The sequence below is a fragment of the Homo sapiens genome, chromosome 4 (genome assembly GCF_000001405.40).
Source record: "Homo sapiens chromosome 4, GRCh38.p14 Primary Assembly".
NCBI lineage: Eukaryota > Metazoa > Chordata > Mammalia > Primates > Hominidae > Homo > Homo sapiens.
This window is the reverse complement of record NC_000004.12, coordinates 168,219,926-168,243,353: the sequence shown is the minus strand read 5'-3', so window position 1 is coordinate 168,243,353 and position 23,428 is coordinate 168,219,926. Positions and strand designations below refer to the sequence as shown.

The 23,428-nt window shown below is 35.0% G+C and overlaps 1 protein-coding gene across 4 annotated transcripts in view; it reads left to right on the top strand.

The window, feature by feature from the left end:
• Positions 1 to 23,428, top strand: part of DDX60 (DExD/H-box helicase 60) — a 109,686-nt gene that overhangs the window by 82,626 nt on the left and 3,632 nt on the right. For all 4 annotated transcript variants that reach the window (XM_024454132.2, NM_017631.6, NM_001410861.1 and 1 more), the window contains 7 exons: positions 5,559 to 5,663; positions 5,927 to 6,068; positions 6,981 to 7,102; positions 17,678 to 17,825; positions 18,969 to 19,111; positions 21,473 to 21,624; positions 22,637 to 22,699. In XM_024454132.2, the coding sequence (XP_024309900.1) occupies positions 5,559 to 5,663; positions 5,927 to 6,068; positions 6,981 to 7,102; positions 17,678 to 17,825; positions 18,969 to 19,111; positions 21,473 to 21,624; positions 22,637 to 22,699 (875 nt within the window). The remainder of the gene's footprint in view (positions 1 to 5,558; positions 5,664 to 5,926; positions 6,069 to 6,980; positions 7,103 to 17,677; positions 17,826 to 18,968; positions 19,112 to 21,472; positions 21,625 to 22,636; positions 22,700 to 23,428) is intronic.

Sequence of the window (23,428 nt, the reverse complement as noted above, 5' to 3'; positions counted from 1 at the left end):
AATTTTCTCCCATTCTGTAGGTTGTTTGTTTTCTCTGATGATCATTTCTTTTGCTGTGCAGAAGCTCTTTAGTTTAATTAGATCCCATTTATCAGTGTTTGCTTTTGTTGCAATTGCTTTGGGCATTTTCATCATTGTATTATTCCATGTTCATGCTGCTGATAAAGACATACCCAAGACTGGGCAATTTACAAAAGAAAGAGGTTTAATGGACTTACAGTTCCACATGGTTGGGGAGGCCTCACAATCATGGCAGAAGGCAAGGAGGAGCAAGTCATGTTTTACAATGGATGGCAGCAGGCAAAGAGAGAGAGAGCTTGTGCAAGGGAACTCCTCTTTTTAAAAGCATCAGATCTCATAATACTTATTCGTTATCATGAGAACAGCATGGGAAAGACCCGCCCCCATGTTTCAATTACCTCACACCAGTTTCCTCTCACAACCCATGGGAATTGTGGGAGTTACAATTCAAGATGGGATTTGGGTGGGGACACAGCCAAATCATATAATTCCACTCCTGGTCCCTCCCAAATCTCATATCCTCACATTTCAAAACCAATCATGCCTTTCTAACAGTCTCCCAGAGTCTTAACTCATTTCAGCATTAACTCAAAACTCCACAGTCCAAAGTCTCATCTGAGACAAGGCAAGTCCCTTTTACCTATGAGCTAGTAAAATCAAAAGCAAGTTAGTTACTTCCTAGATATAGTGGGGGTACAGGCATTGGGTACATACAGCCATTCCAAATGGGAGAAATTTGCCAAATCAAAGGCACCACAGGCCCCATGCAAGTCCAAAATCCAGTGGGAAAGTCAAATCTTAAAGCTCAAAAATGATATCCTTTGACTCCATGTCTCACATCCAGGTCACACTGATGCAAGAGGTGGGCTCCCATGGCCTTGGGCAGCTTCACTTCAATGGCTTTGCAGGGTATAGTGCCCCTCCTGGCTGCCTTCATAGGCTGGCATTGAGTGTCTGTGGCTTTTCCGGGCACACAGCGCAAGCTGTCAGTGGATGTGTCATTCTGGGGTCTGGAGGGTGGGGGTCCTCTTCTCACAGCTCCAATAGGCAGTGCCCCAGGAGGGACTCTGTGCAGGTTCTCCAACCCCATATTTTCCCTTTGCACTGCCCTAGCAGAGGTTCTCCATGAGGGCCCCATCTCTGCAGCAAACTTCTGCCTGGACATCCGGGAAGTTTCATACATCCTCTGAAATTGAGGCAGAGGTTCCCATACCTCAGTTCTTGACTTCTGTGCACTGTCATGCTCAACACCACGTGTAAGCTGCCAAGGCTTGGGGCTTCCACCCTCTGAAACAATAGCCTGAGCTGTACCTTGTCCCCTTTTAGTCATAGCGGGAGCAGCTGGGATGCAAGGCACCAGGTTCCTAGACTTTACACAGCAGACGAACCCTGGGCCTGGCCCAGGAAACCAGTTTTTTTTCCTAAATCTCTGGGCCTGTGATGAAAGGGGCTGCCACAAAGGTCTCTGACATGCCCTGGAGACATCCCATTGTCTTGGTGATTAATGTTTGGCTCCCTATTACCTATGCAAATTTATGCAGCCAGCTTGAATTTCTCCTCAGAAAATGGGATTTTCATTTCTATCCCATTGTCAGCCTGCAAATTTTCTGAACTTTTATGCTCTGCTTCCCTTATAAAACGGAATGCCTTTAACAGCACCCATGGCACCTCTTGAATGCTTTGCTGCTTAGAAATTTCTTCTGCAAGATACCCTAAATCATCTCTCTCAAGTTCGAAGTTCCATAAATCTCTCAGGCAGAGGCAAAATGCTGCCCGTCTTTTTGCTAAAACATAACGAAAGTCACCTTTGCTCCAGTTCCCAACAAGTTCCTCATCTCCATCTGAGACCACCTCAGCCTGAATTTCATTGTCCATATCATTATCAGCATTTTGGTCAAAGCCATTCAAGAAGTCTTTAGGGAGTTCCAAACTTTCCCACATGTTCCTGTCTGCTTCTGAGCCCTCCAAACTGTTCCAATTTCTGCCTAGTACCCAATTCCAAAGTCACTTCCACATTTTCAGGTATCTTTTCAGCAGCACCCCACTCTACTGGTACCAACTTACTGTATTAGTCTGTTTTCATGCTGCTGATAAAGACATACCCAAGAGTGGGAAATTTACAAAAGAAAGAGTTTTAATGGACTTACAGTTCCACATGGCTGAGGAGGTCTCATAATCATGGCAGAATGCAAGGAGGAGCAAGTCATGTCTTACAATGGATGGCAGCAGGCAAAGAGAGAACAAGCTTGTGCAGGGGAATTCCTCTTTTTAAAACCATCAGATTTCATAAGACATATTCACTATTAGGAGAACTGCATGGGCAAGATCTGCCCCCATGATTCAATTACCTCCCACTGGGTTCCTTCTATGACATGCGGGAATTGTGAGAGTTTCAATTCAAGATGAGATTTGGGTGGGTACACAGCCAAACCACATCAATTATGAAATATTGCCCATGCCGATGTCCTGAATAGTATTGCCTAGGTTATCTTCTAGAATTTTTATAATTTTGGGGTGTACCTTAAGTCTTTAATCCACCTTGAGTTAATTTTTGTATAAGGTGTAAGGATAGGATCCAGTTCCATTTTCTGCACATGGCTATCCAGGTCTTCTATTACCATTTATTAAATAGGAAACCCTTTCCCCATTGCTTGTTTTTGTTGAAGATCAGATGGTTGTAAATGTATAGTCTTGTTTCTGAGTTCTCTATTCTGTTCCAATGGTCTGTGTGTCTGTTTTGGTTACTGTAGCCTTGTGTTAAAGGTAGAAGTTGGGTAGCATGATGCCTCCAGCTTGTTCTTTTTGCTTAGGATTGTCTTGGCTGTATGGGCTCTTTTTTGGTTCCACTATGAATTTTAAAATAGTTTTTTTCTAAATCTGTGTAGAAAGTCACTGGTAGTTTAATGGGAATAGCACTGAATCTATAAATTACTCTGGGCAGTATGGCCATTTTCACAATATTGATTCTTTCTGTCCATGAGCATGAAATGTTTTTTCATTTGTTTGTGTCCTCTCTGATATCCTTGAGCAGTGGTTTGTAGTTCTCCTTGAAAAGGTCCTTCACTTCCCTTATTAGCTGTATTCCTAGGTATTATATTCTCTTTGTAGCAATTGTGAAGGGGAGTTCATTTGTGATTTGGCTCTCCGCTTGTCTGTTGTTGGTTTGTAGTAAAATGCCTGTGATTTTTGCACATTGATTTTGTATGCTGAGATTTTGCTGAAGTTGCTTCTCAGAAGCTTTTGGGTTGAGATGATGGGGTTTTCTAGATATAGGATCATGTCATCTGCAAACAAAGACAATTTGAGTTCCTCTCTTCCTCTTTGAATATCCTTTATTTCTTTTTCTTGCCTGATTGCCCTGGCCAGAACTTTCAATACTGTATTGAATAAGAGTGGTGAGAGAGGGCATATAAGTATTTTTTCAAAACAACTTTTTTTTTTTGCTGCATATAGAAAACAATTTTCATAGGTCAGATCTTTTCTTTAGAGGAAAAGATGTCCTTGTCACAGTCTATGAGATCCTGTAGAATATGATATCTTACCAGCTTGTAAAACTCACTTCTTCCTCTTTCCCATATGGCCTGCTACCTGCTTCATGAACACCCCAGGCACATTCCAGTCTGAGGACCATGGCTCTTGCTGTTTCTTCTCCTTCTAAGATCGTCCCTGAGACATATACATGGCCTCACTCTCTTACCACATTAAATTCTTTGCTCTAACATTACATAGTGAAGCCTACCCTCACCATGCCTTCTAAATTGTAAATGTTTCCCTGTCTGCTGCATTGACAATGTTCCTTATTCAGTTAAATAGAGTTCTCATCAGTTCCTATATAGCATCAAATCTATCTATGTATCTATCTACATTGATCTATCTTTCTTTATGTCTATCATCTATATTTCTATCCATCTACCTACCTCTATCTATCTATCTATCTATCTATCTATCTATCTATCTTCCTTCTATCATCTCTCTGCTATCTGCTATCTACCTACCTTTCTATCATGTATCATTCTATCATTTATCTTTCTATCCATCTATCTACATCTATCAATCATCTATCTACCTATCATCTATCTTTCTATCTTCCTATCTCTATCATGTTTTTATATATTTTCTCTATATTTTCCACTAGAATGTAAGCACTCCAAGGCCAATAATGTTTGTTTGTCTGATTTTCTGATGTAGACATTCAGTAAATATTTACAGCATCACCATAATTTTAGGAAGATGATCAATTTTTCTTAAGAAGATTTGATCTATTGTGTGTTTTTCTATTTTATCACTTTGGATACATCTATCCAAATCTGATGGTTTGCCAAGCAATAGGATGTATGAAATTTCTTCTGGCTTCACTCTATCCACCTAAATGCTAATCAAATACCCTTTCAGAGCTGAGCTGGATGAATAGTTTTTGGCCCAAATATCAGTGTTTAGCAGATCTTCATCTATGTAGTTTTCTGGACTGAAAGGTCGCGTTCTACTTCTGCTAGTCTTATTACACATTGATTATCTGGATGACATTAATCACAATAAACTATAGTATGCAATGCTATCAGGATTCTTATAATCTTAGTATGACTTTAATATGAGGTCTGTACCTCTGTGGTTATAGTGAACCACCATGAAACCCTCACCCTTTACTATGCTGTTTTCTGACTATTGCCATCTCTGACTATATGTGGCATATGAGAGCGAAGAGGTTGCAAAAAAGGCCAGATATGGTGCCCTCAAAAATATCATCCCACAGTAAGGAGATGGAAAGTGCACTCCCTTCTTCTACGCTTCCACTCTTTCTTCCTTTCTCTCTTCTTCCTTTTCTCTCTCTTCCCTTCCTCTTCCTTTCTCCCCTTCCCTTCCCTTCCCTTCCCTTCCCTTCCCTTCCCTTCCCTTCCCTTCCCTTCCCTTCCCTCCCCTCTCCTCCCCTCCCCTCCCTTTCCCTTCCCTTCCTTATTTTTTTCCTTCCCTTCCTCCTCCTAGTCCATTAACCTTATAGTAAGTAGAGATTCTTTCTAGGTTCTATAAACCCTCAGGCCTAAAGACAGGTTAAGTTTCAATTTTGGTGATGCTGGGTTTTTTTTTTTTTTTTTTTTTTTGGAATTTCATAGACATTTTAATGGGAAGTTGAAAGATACATGTACTTTAATGCAGTTTTACTCTGGAAAACAAGCAATATTTTTATAACATTGGTGAAATCAACCTAGTTACATTATTTTTGTAATAATACTGCAGAACATGGGATAATATATCTTTTTACTCCTAGAACAACTTAAAAGCTATAAACTCTTGAACTGGAATGGCTTTAATAATCAGACTGTTTGGCAATACGTTTCATTTCTGACAATTCAGTTTATGTGCTCTATTTTGTTAAAGAAGTTGCCATGTAACACTATAAAATAATATGAAATCAAATTTTTTCTGATACATTTCTGATATCTTTGTGGTATAATAGATATTGATCTATCATTTATTATCATTTTCAAACGTATTTCGTAACACTTAACATTGTGTGTCTAAAAATACTCTTTTCTTTAAAGGTGCTATCAGTGCTAAAGCATTCATTGCTGTCCTTCAAGCAACCCAGAGTCATGGACATGTTAAAACTTTACTTCCTGTTTTCTTTGCAGTTCCTGGTGAAAGAGGTATGCATTACTGCACTTTTGTTTTGGGAAATAGCATTACTACTATCTAGATTTCTTATCATGCTGAACAAATTGTAGCTTTTAGAAGGTTCTATCCAATGATTGATATTATTTATAAATGGTATAATTATAAAAGTTGGGCCCAGTAATAGTTATAAATATTTCTTATATTGGCATTAAATACTATTTTAAACTGGTACTTAATAAGTTACTTATTATGTGGTGACTTGAGTCAAACTAATAAATTGTTTTTTGTTCTTTAGGGCTATTTAGATCAAGAAGGTAATCCTATGGGGTTTGCTGGACTTGTATCACATTTGCATTATCATGAACCTTCTAATCTTGTTTTTGTCAGTTTTCTTGTAAATGGACTCTTCCATGATCTCTGTCAGCCAACCAGGAAAGGTAAGCTTGAGATTTTATATATATATGTAGAGAGAGAGTCCAAAAATAGCAACAGATTTGTAGAAAAACAACACTTCAGGAATATTTTTAATAAAGAAAATACAATTAATATGTAGATAATTTATAGATCTTCAATTGATAAAGTAAATACCTACTAATATATATTAAATGATAGTCAGCCATGTTTTATGACATGTATTTACAATGTCAACACCTCCAAAATATTAACTTCAGTGATTCCTTGCCTCCAGGATTAATAACATATTAAATAATATACACTTTTTAGAAAATATTTTCTTCTAATTAAATATAATATATATTCATCATAGAAAAAGGATATAGTAAAGCATTAAGTTAAAAATAAAAAATTACTCATAATTACACTATCCACAGATAATCACTATTAATGTTTGTGAATATTTTCTTCCAATCATATTTTCTTTGAATATTATTGTATAGTATACCTAAATAGCTAATAGTATATTAATAGTGTAATTTAGAATCATATTTTCCCCTAAAAATAGCACAATTTTATCCATATTGAGTAAATTTTTAAATACATTTTATTTAATACATTTTTGATTAAAATCCTTTGATTTTTACATTTAAACACTAAATCTATATGGTAGTTCTTAAAATCACTAAGATAGACTAAAGGGAGGAAAATCTAGGTAAGGAAATAAGGCAATTTGTGTGGGATCATTAGGATCTAAATTAGGGTATAGGTAGCAAGGATGAAAAAGAAGGCACAGATAAAAACTATTAGCGGATATATGGTAATTCTTCAATTGCTATGTTTGTCATAAATTTTTAGTTTCCATGAAATTAAATGTAATATGACATTCCATTTAAACATGAAAAAATAGAATTATACCCTTTCATATTTACAAGAAGACACTTTGTTTTATATAGGCTCAAAACATTTTTCTCAAGACGTTATGGAAAAGCTAGTATTAGTATTGGCACATCTCTTTGGAAGAAGATATTTTCCACCAAAGTTCCAAGATGCACACTTCGAGTTTTATCAATCAAAGGTAAACTGTGTGATTCTGATAAAATTTAGTAATGTAAAACCACTAAATAGATCTTACCTAAAATGACTTAGCAGCTGTAGAATTTTAATTCAAAGGGCAGTTCATTTGTTTTATAGAATAATTTGTTCTTTTTGTAATCAGTGTGATATTTAATCTGTAATTGATGTCTCCCTCTGTAAATCTACCAAAAAGTTAAAGTCTTTGTGAAAAAAAAGAGGATAAACATTTTATTCATGTTTTTCATTTGATTGTATCAAATTATAATATCAGGTGACTAAAGAAAAGATATGCTAATTATACATTAAGTGAAACATCTAGCTGTATCACCGAATATACTGTTCTTTTAGGATCCTTTTACCTTAAGGTAGAACTATGGAAGGGAAGTATATGTTGTGAATTATAATGTCTTCACTGAGAAAATATCAGAATAGTCATCTAAGAAATCATTACTTGACTCACAGAGACCAAAATCAGAGAAACACTTTTTCGATTTTATTTGTAACATGCAACATTTTCTTTGGTTATGATTCTCTACCATCAAGTCAACATCAAATACTATTACTATTATACTTCCCTAGAATAAAATGGGATATGCTGGTTTATACAAGATAACCTTAGTGAAAAGTTGCTATGGAACAAACAAAAAGAATTAGTATATATTTTCTAATCCCACAATGCTGGATTAAAAATCTGTGCTCTCACAGAATGCCCTCTAGAGCAGTGAACACAATTTTAGTCATTGACCTATCATCTTTACACTTTTCACCACTCATGCATTTTTGAAACAATTATTTAATTGTTCTGTTTATATAAATTTATATTTAACATAGAAAATTCACTATCTCTATTTTGAAAAAAGAAGCTCATGATAAAAATACACTTTACTGCATAACAGACAGATCTGCGTGAAATGTTGGGGTACTACACCAAAAAGCTTTAAAAAATAGGCCAGACATGGTGACTCAAGCCTGTAATCCCACTACTTTGGGAGGCAGAGGTGGGAGGATTGCTTGAGCCCAGGAGTTTGAGACCAGCCTGGGGAACAGAGAGAGACCCCATCTCTAAGAAAAAGAAAAAATTAGATAATAATTCCTAAAGTCCCATTATATTAAATAAAAACTCACTAGAGAAAAGGATCTGGGTCTGCCTTCATAGGTAGGCTTGTATCCCCCTCAAGACATTTTCGAAGCCATCTAGGACTGGAAAATTTAACAGCAGGTTAGGAAGTGCTATAGGAAAAAGGTGGATCTTTAGCAGTCTTTTAGATTTGAGAAGACGAAGACTAACTAGCCTTATTCTCAAAATCTTAAGAAATCCATGACCTAGAAAGAGAGACAAAGCATAAATGAGGCTTACTAAAACTGTAAAACAATACCCACTGCAGTCTGTACTTGTACTGAGGTGATCATACTTTCACTCTCTTGGCCAAACACGAAAATGGGGGCATTCGCTCTTGTGAAAGATAACATCTAAAGCCGTAAAGTCCTTTGAAAACAGTTTCTGGTGCAAAACCAATACCAAAACAAAACCTAAAATGGTGAGTAAGCATGAACATATGACCAATAAGCAGGAAGAAAAGAGGTCGGTAATTGTAGATCCATAAATCATCCAGACATTAGCATTAACATATAAGGATTATAAGTGTGATTAATATGTTCAAGAAAATAGGAAGAGAGACAAAATTGATAAAAAGATGGATATTTTTACTAGATAATTAGAATGTATAAAACTAAATTGGACATTTTAGAACTGAAAATACAATATCTGACCATTAGAATATGCATTTCAGAAGTCATGATCAGTAAGTTGACAGCATAATAGAAAGCATCCAAGGTATAGCACAGAGATTAAAAAAAATTAAAAAATCAGACAGCGTAACAAACATGAATCACATGGAAAAAGTTTAATGTATATATAATGGGAGTCCCAGAAAAAAAAATGGTGGAGAAAAATGGCTGAAGAGTATTCAAAAAGATAATAGCTGGGAATTTTCCAAAGCTGATTAAAGATAACACACCATAGTTTTAAAACCGTAGTCAACTTCAGGGAGGATAAATGTAGAAAAACATTAAGCTAAACTGCTGAAAAGCACAAAGAGAAAATCATAAATCACCTAGGACAGAAATAAAGTGACACATTTCCTTCTAAGAAGCAATGAGAATGCTAGATTTCTTTTTAATCAAAATAATGGAAGCTAGTGGACAATGGAACAATATTTTGTTGTTGATTCAGATATTTTACAGGCAAATACATGCAATCATTGATATATACATATATAAACTCTTGGTGTTACATAACTAGAATCATATTAGACATGCTATTGCTTTTTTATACTTATATCAAAGATACTTTTCCGGATGACCACATATGAATTTTTTTGGTATTTTTTTTTATTTCAGTAGGTTTTGGAGAAACAGTTGGTGTTTGGTTACATGTATAAGTTCTTTAGTAGTGATTTCTGAGATTTTGGTGCACCCATCACCTAAGCAGTGTACACTGCACCCAATGTGTAGTCTTTTATTCCTCACCCCTCACACCTTTTCCTATGGGTCCCCAAAGTCCATTGTACCATTTTTATGACTTTGTGTCCTCATAGCTTAGCTCTCACTTATGAGTGGGAAGATTTGATTTTTGGTTTTCAATTCCTGAGTTATTTCACTTAGAATAATGGTCTCCAACTCCATCCAGGTTGCTTGTGAATGCTCTTATTTCATTTCTATTTATGGCTGAGTAGTATTCCATAATACATATGTACCACATTTTCTTTATCCACTCATTGACTGATGGGCATTTAGGCTGGTTCCATATTTTTGTAATTGCAAATTGTGCTGCTGTAAACATGCATGTCCAAGTATCTTTTTTGTGTAAAGACTTCTTTTCCTCTGGGTAGGTACCAAGTAGTGGGATTGCTGGATCAAATGGTAGATCTACTTTTAGTTTGTTAAGGAATCTCCATACTGTTTTCCCTGGTGGTTGTACTAGTTTACATTTCCACCAGCTTTGTAAAAGTGTTCCCTTTTCACTACATCCACGCTAACATCTATTATTTTTGATTTTTTGATTATGGCCATCCTTACAGGAGTAAGGTGGCGTTGCACTGTGGTTTTGATTTGCATTTCCCTGATAATTAGTAATGTTAAGCATTTTTTTCATATGTTTGTTGGCCATTTATATATTTTCTTTTGAGAATTGTCTATTCATGTCCTTAGCTCACTTTTTGAAGGGATTGTTTGTTTTTTTGTTGCTGCTTTGTTTGAGTTCTTTGTAGATTCTGAATATTGAGTCCTTTGTTGGATGGATAGTTTGTGATTTTCTCCCACTCTGTGGGCTGTCTGTTTACTCTGCTGATTATTTCTTTTGCTGTGCAGAAGCTTTTAGTTTAATTAAGTCCCATCTATTTATCTTTGTTTTTGTTGCATTTGCTTTTGGGTTCTTGGTCGTGAAGCCTTTGTCTAAGCCAATGTCTAGAAGGGTTTTTATAATATTGTCTTCCAGAATTTTTATGCTTTCAGGTCTTAGAATTAAGTCTTTGATCCATCTTGTATTGATTTTTGTATAAGGTGAGAGATAAGGATTCAGTTTCATTCTGCTACGTGTGGCTTGCCAATTATCCCAGCACCACGTGTTGAATAGGGTGTCCTTTCCCCATTTTATGTTTTCATTTGGTTTGTCAAAGATCAGTTGGCTGTAAATATTTGCCTTTATTTCTGTTCTTTATTCTGTTCCATTGGTCTATGTGTCTATATTTATGCCAGGACCTTGTGGTTTTGGTGACTATAACCGTATAGTATAGTTTGAAGTCAGGTAGTATGATGCTTCCAGATTTGTTCTTTTTGCTTAGTTTTCCTTTGACTATATGGGCTTTTCTTTGGTTCCATATGAATTTTAAGATTGTTTTTTCTAGTTCTGTGAAGAATGATGTTGGTATTTTGATGGGAATTGAATTTGTAGATTGCTTTTGGCAGCCTCATGATTTTCACAGAATTTATTCTACTCATACATGAGCATGATATGTGTTTCAATCTGCTTGTGATATCTATTATTTCTTTCAGCAGTGTGTTGTAGTTTTCCTTGCAGAGGTCTTTCACCTCCTGGTTAGGCATATTTCTAAGTATTTTATTTTACTATTTGCAGCTATTGTAAAAGGGGCTGAGTTCTTGATTTGATTCTCAGCTTGGTTGCTGTTGGTGTATGGCAGAGCTACTGATTTGTGTACATTAATTTTGTATCCTGAAACTTTACTGAATTCATTTATCAGTTCTAGGAGCTTTTTAGACGAGTCTTTAGGCTTTTCTAGGTGTTCAGTCATATCATTGGGAAATGGTGACAGTTTGACTTCCTTTTTACTGATATGGATGTCCTTTATTTATTTCTTTTGTTTGATTGCTCTGGTTAGGACTTCTAGTACTATGTTGAGTAAGAGTGGTGAAAATGGGCATCCTTTTCTTATTCCAGTTCTCAGGGAGAATGCTTTCTACTTTTCCCTGTAAAGTATAACGTTGACTGTGGGATTGTCTTAGATGGCTTTTATTACCTTAAGCTATGTCCTTTCTATGCCAATTTTGCTGAGGGTTTTAATCCTAAAGGGATGCTGGATTTTGTCAAATGCTTTTTCTGCATCTATTTAGATGATCAGTGATTTTTGTTTTTAAATCTGTTTATGTAGTATATTACATTTATTCACTTGCATATGATAAACCATCCCAGCATCCCTAGTATGAAACTCACTTGATCATGGTAGATTATCTTTTTGATCTGCTGTTGGATTCTGTTTGCTAGTATTTTGTTGAGGGTTTTTGCGTTTATGTTCATCAGAGATATTGGTCTGTAGTTTTCTTTCTTTTTTTTTTTGTTATGTCATTTCCTGGTTTTGACATTAAGATGATATTGGCTTCATAGAACAATTTAGGGAGGATTCCCTCTTTCTCTATCTTTTGAAATAGTGTCAGTAGGCTTGGTCCCAAATCTTCTTTGAATGCCTGATAGAATTCAGTCGTGAATCCATATAGTTTTGGACTTTTTTTGTTGACATTTAAAAAATATATACCATTTCAATCTCACTGCTTGTTATTGGTCTGTTCAGAGTTTCTATTTCTTCTTGGTTTAATCTAGGAGATTTGTATATTTCCAGGAATTTACCCATCTCCTCTAAGTTTTCCAGTTTGTGTGCGTAAAGGTGTTCATAGTAGCCTTGAATAATTTTTTTTTTCGTACTTCTGTGGTATTGGTTGTAATATCTTCTGTTTCATTTCTTTGGATGAAACTTATTTGGATCTCTCTTCTTTTCTTGGCTAATCTCACTAATGGTCTATTTATCAATGTTGTTTATTTTTTCAAAGAACCAGCTTTTAGTTTCATTTATCTTTTGTATTGGTTTTGTTTGTTTGTTTCAATTTCATTTAGTTCTGCTCTGATCTTTGCTATTTCTTTTCTTCTGCTGGGTTTGGGTTTGGTTTGTTATTGTTTCTCTAGTTCCTTGAGGGGTGACCTTAGATTGTCTATTTTTGCTCTTTCAGACTTTTTGATGTAGGCATTTAATGCTATGAACTTTTCTCTTAGCATCACTTTTGCTCTGTCCCAGAGGTTTTAAATCAGTTGTGTCACTAATACTGTTCAATTCAAAGACTTTTTAAGTTTCTATCCTGATTTCATTGTTGACCCAATAATCATTCAGGAGCAGGTTATTTAATTTCCATGTATTTGCATGGTTTTGAGGATTTCTTTTGGAGTTGATTTCCAATTTTATTCCACTGTGATCTGAGATCACTTATTGAGGCTTGTTTTGTTGCCTATCATATGGTCTTTCTTGGAGAATGTTCCATGTGCTGATGAATAGAATGTATATTCTTCAATTGTTGGGTAGAATGTTCTGTAAATATCTGTTAAGTCCATTTGTCCTAGGGTGTAGTCTAAGTCCATTATTTGTTGACTTTCTGTCTTTATGACCTGTCTAGTGCCGTCATGGGGTATTGAAGTCCCCCACTATTATTGTGTTGCTATCTTTCTCATTTCTTAGGTATATTAGTAATTGTTTTATAAATTTGAGAGCTCCAGTATTAGGTGTATATATATTTAGGATTGTGAAGTGTTCCTGTTGGAGTAGTCCTTTTATCATTATATAGTGTCCATCTGTCTTTTTAAACTATTTTTGCTTTAAATCTGTTTTGTCTGATATAAAAATAGCTACTCCTGCTTGCTTTTGGTGTCCATTTCCATGGAATATGTTTCTCCACCCCTTTCCCTTAAATTTATGTGAGTCCTTATGTGTTAGGTGAGTCTCTTGAAGACAGCAGATACTTGGTTGGTGAATTCTTATCCATTTTGCTATTCCAAATCTTCTAAGTGGAGCATTTAGGCCATTTACATTCAATTTTAGTTTTGAAATGTGAGGTACTATTCTATTTATCATGCTAGTTGTTGCCCAAATACCTTGTTTTTTCTTTTTCCATTGTGCTATTATTTTATAGGTCTTGTGAGATTTATGCTTTAAGGAGGTTCTATTTTGGTGTCTTTCAGGGATTTGTTTCAAGAGTTAGAGCTCCTTTCAGCAGTTCTTGTAGTACTGTCCCCCACTCCCCAATAGCGCTGAATTTATTTCCAGGCAATCTGTGAGCAGGGCTGAAAACTTTCCCCAGGCTACAAGCCTCCCCACTGAGAAAGCAAGCAGGGCTCTTGGGTTTCACACCTCCCCACTTGCTGCAGCCTCTGTGCTTGTATCTGCACTCCCTGTTTACCCCCCTGCCCCAGGTTCTGTCCAGGAAACTTTGTGTTTGGTTGAAATTGTTACAGAGTTCAGCTGGAAGTTTCCTTCTCCATGTGGTCTTTCCCCAATTCCATTGGCAGCCTTCCCAAGGACCCCTGTGAGACAAAGTCAGAAACGGCTTTTCTGGGGACCGAAAGTGCCCAGAGTGCTTATCCCACTGCTTCCTCTACACCTATATTTCACTTGGCTCTCTAAATTTGTCTCAATTCCAGATCCTTCTCCCATGATCTGGAACTTCAGTTTCCCCATTGATGATATGTGTTAAGGGGTGGATGTTCCCCCTTTCACACTTTGGACATTCACAGTTTTTCAGCTTGCCTGAAGAGGCAAGTTACTTCTTTGAAAGGGTCTGTGGATTCTCTTGGCTTTCCTGGTGTGTTCCTTTGGTAGTTCTTGGAGCAAAAGTTCATGGTGTGAGTCTCCACATGCTGATCTGTCTGTCTGAGTGGGAGCTGCAAGTTAGTTCTGCCTCTTGTCTGCCATTTTTTATTTTTATTTTTATTTTGGCTCTCCAGACAATGGAACAATATTTTTAATGTGCTCAATTAAAATAACTCCTATCCCTGAATTCTACACTTGTAGGAAATATTCGTCAAAATAAAGATAAAATTAAGATGTTTTCAGATGTGAAATCTGAGGTTATTCATTGCTATCAAGTCTGCAGTAAAATAAATATATACTTTAGGTACATAGAAAAAATCCAAAATTTGGAAACATGAAAATGCAGGAAGGAATGAATCACAATAGAAAGGGTTATGTGTGATTACATATAAAGGAATACACATTGTGTCAAAAAATAATTGTAACATATAAAATTTGAAATAATACATAGAACTGAAGTTTATGAAAATTATAATGTAAGAGTTCAGAAGGTTAATACATTTAAATGTTTTAAAATTTTGGAAGATTAAGAAATATAAAATTAAAGCTATATCTTATAATCTCTGGGGTAACAGCTAAAAGACTAGTAAAATAGTGTGCACATACATGTTAACAAAAGGAAAAACTGGTAAAAACAAGAAGGGAAGAGAAAAAATATATAATGAGTGGTTCAAATTCAGACAGAAAACAAATGGCAAGGTAGAAAATAGCTATATCAATAGTTATATTAAATGTAAATGTACTAAATACACTAAGTAAAATACAAAGATTTTCAGGCTATATCTTAAAATATAGACAACTATAGACATGTGCCACACAATGACATTTTGATCCACAACAGACTGCATACATGATGGTTGCATAAATATAATATTGTATTTTTACTGTACCTTTCCTTCATTCAGGTATATCTGGATACACAAAATACTTACCATTGTGTTACAGCTGCCTAAAGTGTTCAATTCAGTAACATGCTGTACAGGTTTGTAGCCTAGGACCAATAGGCTGTACCATAAAGCCTAGGTAATGTGATCTAGGTTTGTTTAAGTACACTTTGTGATGTTTGCACAATGACAATATCACCTAATGCCACATTTCTTAGAATATATCCCTGCCATTAAGTGACATCAGACTATATATGCTATTTATACAAGTCACACTTTAGGTATAAAAACTGAGAAAGCTTGAAAGTAAGATGATTAAAAATATATGCCAGGTAAACACTAACCAGAAGAATCAGAAGTATCTCAATTGCGTGAAAAGTTAAAAAATTAATTTATAAATACACAAAGGATAAAAAAGACATAAAATGGACATTTAAAAATATTTTACATTAAATAAAAATAAAGCAAACATAAGAATGCTTATAAGTTGGAATTTATTCAGTGCTTACAGAGGAATTTGCAGCCTTAAAACCATAAATTAGAAAAAAATACAGGCTGAAAAGTCAATGAATTAAACTTTAGCTTAAGAAAATAACAAAACGAACAAGAAGATCTAACCTACAGTAAGTAGAAGGAAAGAAATAATAAAATGAGAACAGATATAAAGTAAATTAACAATAATTGTGTGAACAAGAAATCAACAAAGCCTCTAAGTTGGTTCTTTGTAAAGAATAATAAAATTGATTAATGTCTAGCAAAACTCATTAAGAATAAGGGAGTAAAAGCACAAGTATCAGAAAAGAAAATGGGGCAGTACTACAGGCTCTATTTTAGACATCGCAAAGAGCAAAGGAAGATTTTGTGAATGACTTTATAGCAACGTATTTGACTATTTAGACAAATGGGCAAATTCCTAGAAAATACAACTTTCCAAAACTGAGCAAGGAAGATATAATTAATCTGGTTCTGATATCTAGTAAAGAAATTTAATCTATTATTTAAAAAAAAAAAAACATTCCCACAAAGAAAACCCAAGGCTCAGATGGCTTCACTGGTGAATTCTTCCAAACTTTGTAAGGATAACATCACTATATATGTATATTAAAACACCAGTTTGTATATCTTAAATATGCATGATTTTTATCGTAAAGAGAATAACACCAACTTTTTACAAATTTTATTTTAGTCTGTTTGGGCTGCTATAATGTAGCAATGATTGGCTGGCTAATAAACAACAGAAATTTACTTGTCACAGTTTCGGAGGCTGAGAAGAGACCAGTCTTTCTAGCTATTTTTTGGTACCCATTAAACATTCACTTCTCCGTCCCCCAGCTACCCTTCCCAGCCTCTGATAACCATCCTTCTACTCTATCTGCATAAGTTCAATTGTTTTAACTTTTAGGTCCTACAAAGTAGTGAGAACGTGTGAAGTGTGTCTTTTTGTGCCTGGCTGATTTCACTTAACATAATGACCTCCAATTCTTTACATGTTGTTGCAAATGACAGGATCTCATTCTTTTTTATGGCTGAATAACTAAAAGAATAGAATTGTATTGTTTGTAACACAAAGGATAAATGCTTGAAGTGATGGATACCCCATTTACCCTGATGTGATTATTATGCATTACATGCCTGCATCGAAATATCTCATATAATCCATGAATATACACACCTGCTATGGACCCACAAAAATAAAAAATTAATAATTAAAAGGAAGTTCTAAATCAAGGTGTCTGGTGGGGGCTGCTTTTTGGTTCATAGATGGTTGTCTTTATGCTGTGTTCTCACATGGTGGAAGGGGCAAGGGAGCTCTCTGGCGTCTTTTTTTATGGGCACTAATTCCAGTTATGAGGACTCCACCCTCATGACCTAATCATCTCCCAAAGGCCCTGCGTCCTAATCCCATCACATTAAGTGTTCATATTTTAACATATAAATTTTGAGAAAATATGAAACATTCAGTCCACTACACTCTTCTGGATAATACAAAAAGAGGGAATATTTACTCTTTCTAAGGGCAAAAGTTAGCTTTAATACCAAAACCTGACTAGAACATAATGAAAAGGAAAATTAGAGATACTTCTCTTTCATGAATGTAAGTGAAAAAATAGTTAACTAAATATTAGCAAAATGAATCCAGTGAGGTTTAAAAAACCCTCAAAACAAAACGAGATTTACTCTAGGCATGCAAATGTACTTTGTCTCATTGCTTGCTATTCAAATGTGTCACTAGAGTCTTTGAAATTTTCACAAGTCTAATGTTATTTGAGGGCATGCTTCTATTTAAAAGTGGTTTTGATTCAGTATGTCAAAATACATTTTTAAGGGTAATGAGTAAGGTATTTGTTTTCATAATTGCAAATAGAAACAAAACATGAAGTTACCTGAACTTCACCAGTGAAAAAATGAAACAGTGACATTATTGAATAAATATTAATAGATAACTATAGAATTATATTGCAATGTTCTTTACCTTTCTTCTTCCAACGATTCAGTTTTGAAGGAAGGTAAATAGATCTATCTCTATGAAAATTATTCGGCTTCTAGGTGTTCCTTGATGATCTCCCTGAGGATTTTAGTGATGCTTTAGATGAATATAACATGAAAATTATGGAGGACTTTACCACTTTCCTACGAATTGTTTCCAAACTGGCTGATATGAATCAGGAATATCAACTCCCATTGTCAAAAATCAGTAAGTATATTTTACCTCCATTGTGGAACAATTTGAAGAATAAATAATCTTGCCTAAGAATAGTTTATTCTGGAAGAAGAGTGGAACCCCAGAAAGTTTATTTTGCCCTCAAGTGAGGAGATTCCTTTTCCTTTCTAAAGAAAAAAATTTTGCTTATTAGACATTAAAAGGGCAAAAGAGACAAACTAAGTAGGGCAATTTATAACCATCTTGTTAAATGCTGCTTCAGGGTCAAGCCTGGAAAACTGAGTAAGGGCATCTATGAGATGAAGAGAAACTAGAGACGAATTCTGTCACTCTCTCTTGAGAGGAAATACGCTTAGTTTTCATAAACACAGATTCTGAGCATATTTTCTGGGTCCAAACTCTGGTTCTGCTACTTATTAGCTGTGAGATCTTGAGCAAGAGACTCCATACTCATGCCTTAGTTTTCTGAACAGATATATGAGAAAGGGAATAGCATTATCTACGTAGTTTTGATGAGTTTTAAATGATTAAGTTAACATATATGAAAATCTTAAAATAGTGTTTTGTACATGGTTAACACTCTTAGCATTTGCACTTTTTTTCATGAGCTAATAGATGGAAGCTTTCTAAGGGAAAATAGATACAAAAAGGTGACCATCACAGGTGGGGTGAGATTGGAGTCTGTGAATATTATGCCTCAATTACAAATTAGAGCCCAGTTTGAATGTCTGATCTGGGTTTTATAAGAATATAAATGGAAAATATATTTATTCTCATGCACTACTTCCAAACTTACTAATTGAGGCTGCATGGTTTCAGGAAAGATTCTGAAGGCAATTCTGAGTTCAGTAAGAAAAAGTACAAAGGTAATAACAATAATTCTCTGATAAGAGTATATAATTTAAATTTAGTCTTTCATTTCTTATTGATTAAGGCAACTAAAATATAATACACATTTTTATAATAGTGATACTAACATTAATAGCCAACTTTCATTGAATGTATTCTGTGCCAAGCTGTGCTACTAACCTTATGCGATATAACTTACGAAACATTTCAGTCTTCATTACATGAAGCTGAATGGCTCCCCTTGTAACATGGTCTAGAGAAAGTATCTGAGGTTTGACAATTTGACTGAGTTCAAAACACTAATCTATCCCTAACTATTATTGTCAGAATTCACAGGTAAAGAATGTGAAGACTCTCAACTCGTATCTCATTTGATGAGCTGCAAGGAAGGAAGAGTAGCAATTTCACCATTTGTTTGTCTGTCTGGGAACTTTGATGATGATTTGCTTCGACTAGAAACTCCAAACCATGTAAGTGAAGAGTGGGGTTTATTAATAAAAGCTGTTTAAGAAAGAATGGATTTATATTGCTAGGCAGCTTAGAAAGAACTTCGAATTTCCCAGCTTAAAAAGGAAAAAAAAAATCTGGGTGTATCAACAGATATATTCAGGAATTGGTGCTCTTGAAGTCAATATGATTTCTGTTTCTCAGAGTTGGCCTGAGGACCCTGCTCAGAGAGTTTCCAGGCACCACTACTTTTCTTCAATCTTTGAAGGCTCTACTGATATTGACACAGGTTTTCTGTGGAAGTAGCACATAAAACTGTCTTCAGACTTTCTCAGTACTGCTATAAATGCTGTAAATACTACTTACAGTCTGCATCATTGATGCCTAAAATGGAATGCAAAGAACTAGACACATTTGGAAGATCCTGGCTAATTCATTTGAATGTTGACACTTGGTGAAATTTAATTTATATCTTAATACAAACTTTGAGAAAAAGTGTTTTATTACATTTGATATTATGGATTGACATTGGTGTCTCAACTCTATTTTATTCCAAAATCATAGTCATGTATCACTTAAAATAATTTTGAAAACTATATACATCTTGTGCATTTTAAATGAACACATACATTTTTATCCTAAATTTAAATACTTTCTAAAAATACAGTTTTTAGTTTCAAATAAATGTTGGTGTGTTAAAACCAATGCATCATTCTTTTAATTGTATAAAATGGAATATCAACAAGAAAGTGTTTTCATACCCATAGTCAGTAAGTTAAGAACAAGTCAGGAAAACTTTTTATAAGGATTTATAAATTTGCAGTTCTTTTCCTCTTGAACTCACATTTTCTTTCCATATTCCCTCACATTTACCTTACCCAACTCACTTTATACAAATTTACTTTACTAGAGTAAGTTATAACCTCTTAAAATTGTTTTGCTTTTATTGTTTATTTTAATTAATAAAATTAGTTTTACATTTTAATATAATGCTAAGCGTACATACAAATATATCTTTTATAGCATATAGATAAGTTCTAAAGCATCGAACTAAATGAACACCATGTACTAAGGATCTGTGTACTCCTCCCACGTTTCATTTTCTTGTCTCCCGTTTTCCCCCAGGCCATCAACCTTTCTAAACTTTGTGTTTTTCACTTTTCTTTTTAAAAACTACATATTACAAAATCCCTTTTTATATTAATTTGCTTTTGAATTTTATGAAAAGTGAAGGAATAGTTACTGCAGTCACCTGAAAGTCACTTTTATTTACATTCAGTGCTATGCCTTAAGGTTCATCCCTGCTGTAACGTCGAACTCTCTTTTATTTTTAGTACTTAATAATATTTTGTAGTGTGAATATCAAACAGCCTGTTAATCTGTTCTCCTGTTTCGAATAGTTGTGTTTGTTTCTTGTCTTTGCTATTACACACAGTGTTGCTATGGATGTCTCGTGCGTATGTGCAATAGTTTCTCTTAGGTATTGATTTTCTGGGTTAAAATAATTTTCTGAGTCATATAGAATAAGAATATTCAAATATTAAACTTTTCAAGCTACTACCAACTCATTTAAAAAGTAGCTGTGCCAAACAAGTCTCAGCAGGAGTGAACGCAGTTGATATCTGTCACTCGAATGGTTACCTGCAAATTATTAAATTTTAATAATAGAGTCTTGTTTAGATATTGCTGCAGTTTATAATTTGCATCACTGATCTGCATATAGTACATGGAGTCAACTCTTATTATTCATAGATATTTATGTATGAATTTTCTTAGTTGTTAAAATTTATTTGTAACTACCAAAAAAAAATAGCTGTGCCAATTTACACTCATAATAACAGTATGCTAGAGTTCTATTGATCCTCTACAGTACAGTTTGCAAAAAATGAGCAGACATGGGAAAACTATTCACCGCCTTCTTTTTACTTTTCTTCTTTTTGTTTTCCTTCTTCCTCCTTTTTATTCAGGTAATTGGGTTCCCAAGATTGTTAGAGTTGTTCAATTGAATTCCTTTCTTGTGATGTATAATCCTCTAGCTCATTAATATTCTGTTTACAAGTAAATTCCTTTCACCAATAAGGAGAATGAAATGGTGTTAGGTTTTCTTTCCTAGTGAGTGTTTCTATATTCTAGTGGATGGATGGTTGAAAGTGCCATTGGTATTTTGTGGAGGCAATAATCTTCATGGGGTGGAGCTGAGCCACTCTCCACTCTTGCTTAGGATGGTGCTACCACAATGTGTGGCTAAGGCACCCTCTTACTTCACAGTGAAGAGTGGGCTTTAAAAATGGTAACTAAAGGATGTATCTACAAAGCACCACATAAGAAATTATCAACTTTCTTTATACATAAATAATACATTAAGAATAATCGTATTTTTTCAGGTTACTCTAGGCACAATCGGTGTCAATCGCTCTCAGGCTCCAGTGCTGTTGTCACAGAAATTTGATAACCGAGGAAGGAAAATGTCGCTTAATGCCTATGCACTGGATTTCTACAAACATGGTTCCTTGATAGGATTAGTCCAGGATAACAGGTATGTCCTCTCTGTCTGTCTCTGTTTCTCTGTCCTCCCATCTCCATCTCTAATGAATTAATTTAATGAATTTTAAGGAAGAAACCTCATTACAGTTTCAAGTGCAGGTTAAATCATACTAAACATACTAGATTGATTTTTTTTAGAGACTAATGGCAAGAGAGAATAACAATTCGGTATTATTTTTCTTTGTGGTTTTCCAACAAAATCTTGGCACTTAGCCCAGCTCACATGACATCATGCTGTGCTCTAACGATATAAATATTTGCACATGCTCATAGATATATTTGTATTTATTACTCTCCTGTTTATTCATTATTAGATATTTTAAAACTGAATAACAAATAATGGCATGCTCTCCAGTATTTGAGAAGAGTAGATAGAGGACTGAGTACATGACAATTGTTTTAGTTCTGTGGCAGGAAAAACATTTTCAAAAATAGTAGCCAGGGGTAAACACTGTTGGATTTATCCAGGATGAAGAAATTGACTTGGGCACTGAGCACATAGATTTGGGGAGGGGCATTCTGTCACATCAAAGCAGGAAACCAATTTTGTTTTTTACATAAAATGTTGAGCAGTCCTTATAGAATGAAGGTATTAAAATATCTGACACTCTTCAAAGATGTTGAGCACTGTTTTGAAAAAAAGTGACTCATTGTGAATAAAGCAGCTGTGACATTAGTAAATGATACAACTGTTTCTTCCCTTTTGAGTCTCTAGTTCCAATTTACCCTCCTGAGCTTTATTTTCCTGTTTTGGTTATCTCCTGAGATGGCCAGCCTCCTATTTTTATTGCTTATATATGATTGTGAAATTTCAACTCTTGAATTCATAATCACCATTGCCATAGGTTAGATCAATATCTAGGAGTCTGTGGCAGAAATAATTTTTGGAAAGAGATCTTGACAGACAAAAGCAACCTCTTACTGATAAATTCAGCATTTAAATATAAAATAGGATGTTCTTTAATGTTTTGTATTATTAATTTTCAAAATGTTGTTTTCTTTAGGATGAATGAAGGAGATGCTTATTATTTGTTGAAGGATTTTGCACTCACCATTAAATCTATCAGGTGTGTTATATATTTAAATATTGATTTTAGATTTTTTAATAATTTATTTATAATTTGAAAAATGTTGAGCTGTTACTATAAGCCAGGTACATGAAGGTGCCATTAAGCTTCTTCTGTGCTATGCATTTCAACTCCCCAAAGGCTCTGCAGAATGTCTGTTCAACACGTGTTGTATTATTTCTATAACAGAATTAATTCCAATGTCTAGTTGAGATGAAGTTTCATCCAGACTAGAGTCTCAGCCCCAGGCATCATGCACTGACAGGCAGCAATATTCAAAAGCTTCATTGACTCCTCGATCCTGGTATTCTCAATTGCCACAAGCAGTGTATGTCAAAGACATGGGACACGATATTTCAGAGGGCTCCTTAGGGTTCCATCCGGTCTCTAGTTTATATTCACTTACATACTTTGAATTTTGTGTTTTCTCTGATGTTTTCTCCAGGCTCCGTCTGACTCTGATCTTTCATATTGGCCTCCTATTTTCACCTTTAACAAAACCTAGTGGGGTCCCAAGCAACACCAAACTTTATGTGGGTACCCCATTCTTAGGCTTCATTGACCATCTACTGTTGCTTAGTTGCATGTCCATCTTTCTTTTTCTTTTCTTTTTTTTTTGAGACAGAATTTTGCCCTTGTTGCCCAGGCTGGAGTGCAATGGTATGATCTCGGCTCACCACAACCTCTGCCTCCTGGGTTCAAGCAGTTCTCCTGCCTCAATCTCCTGAG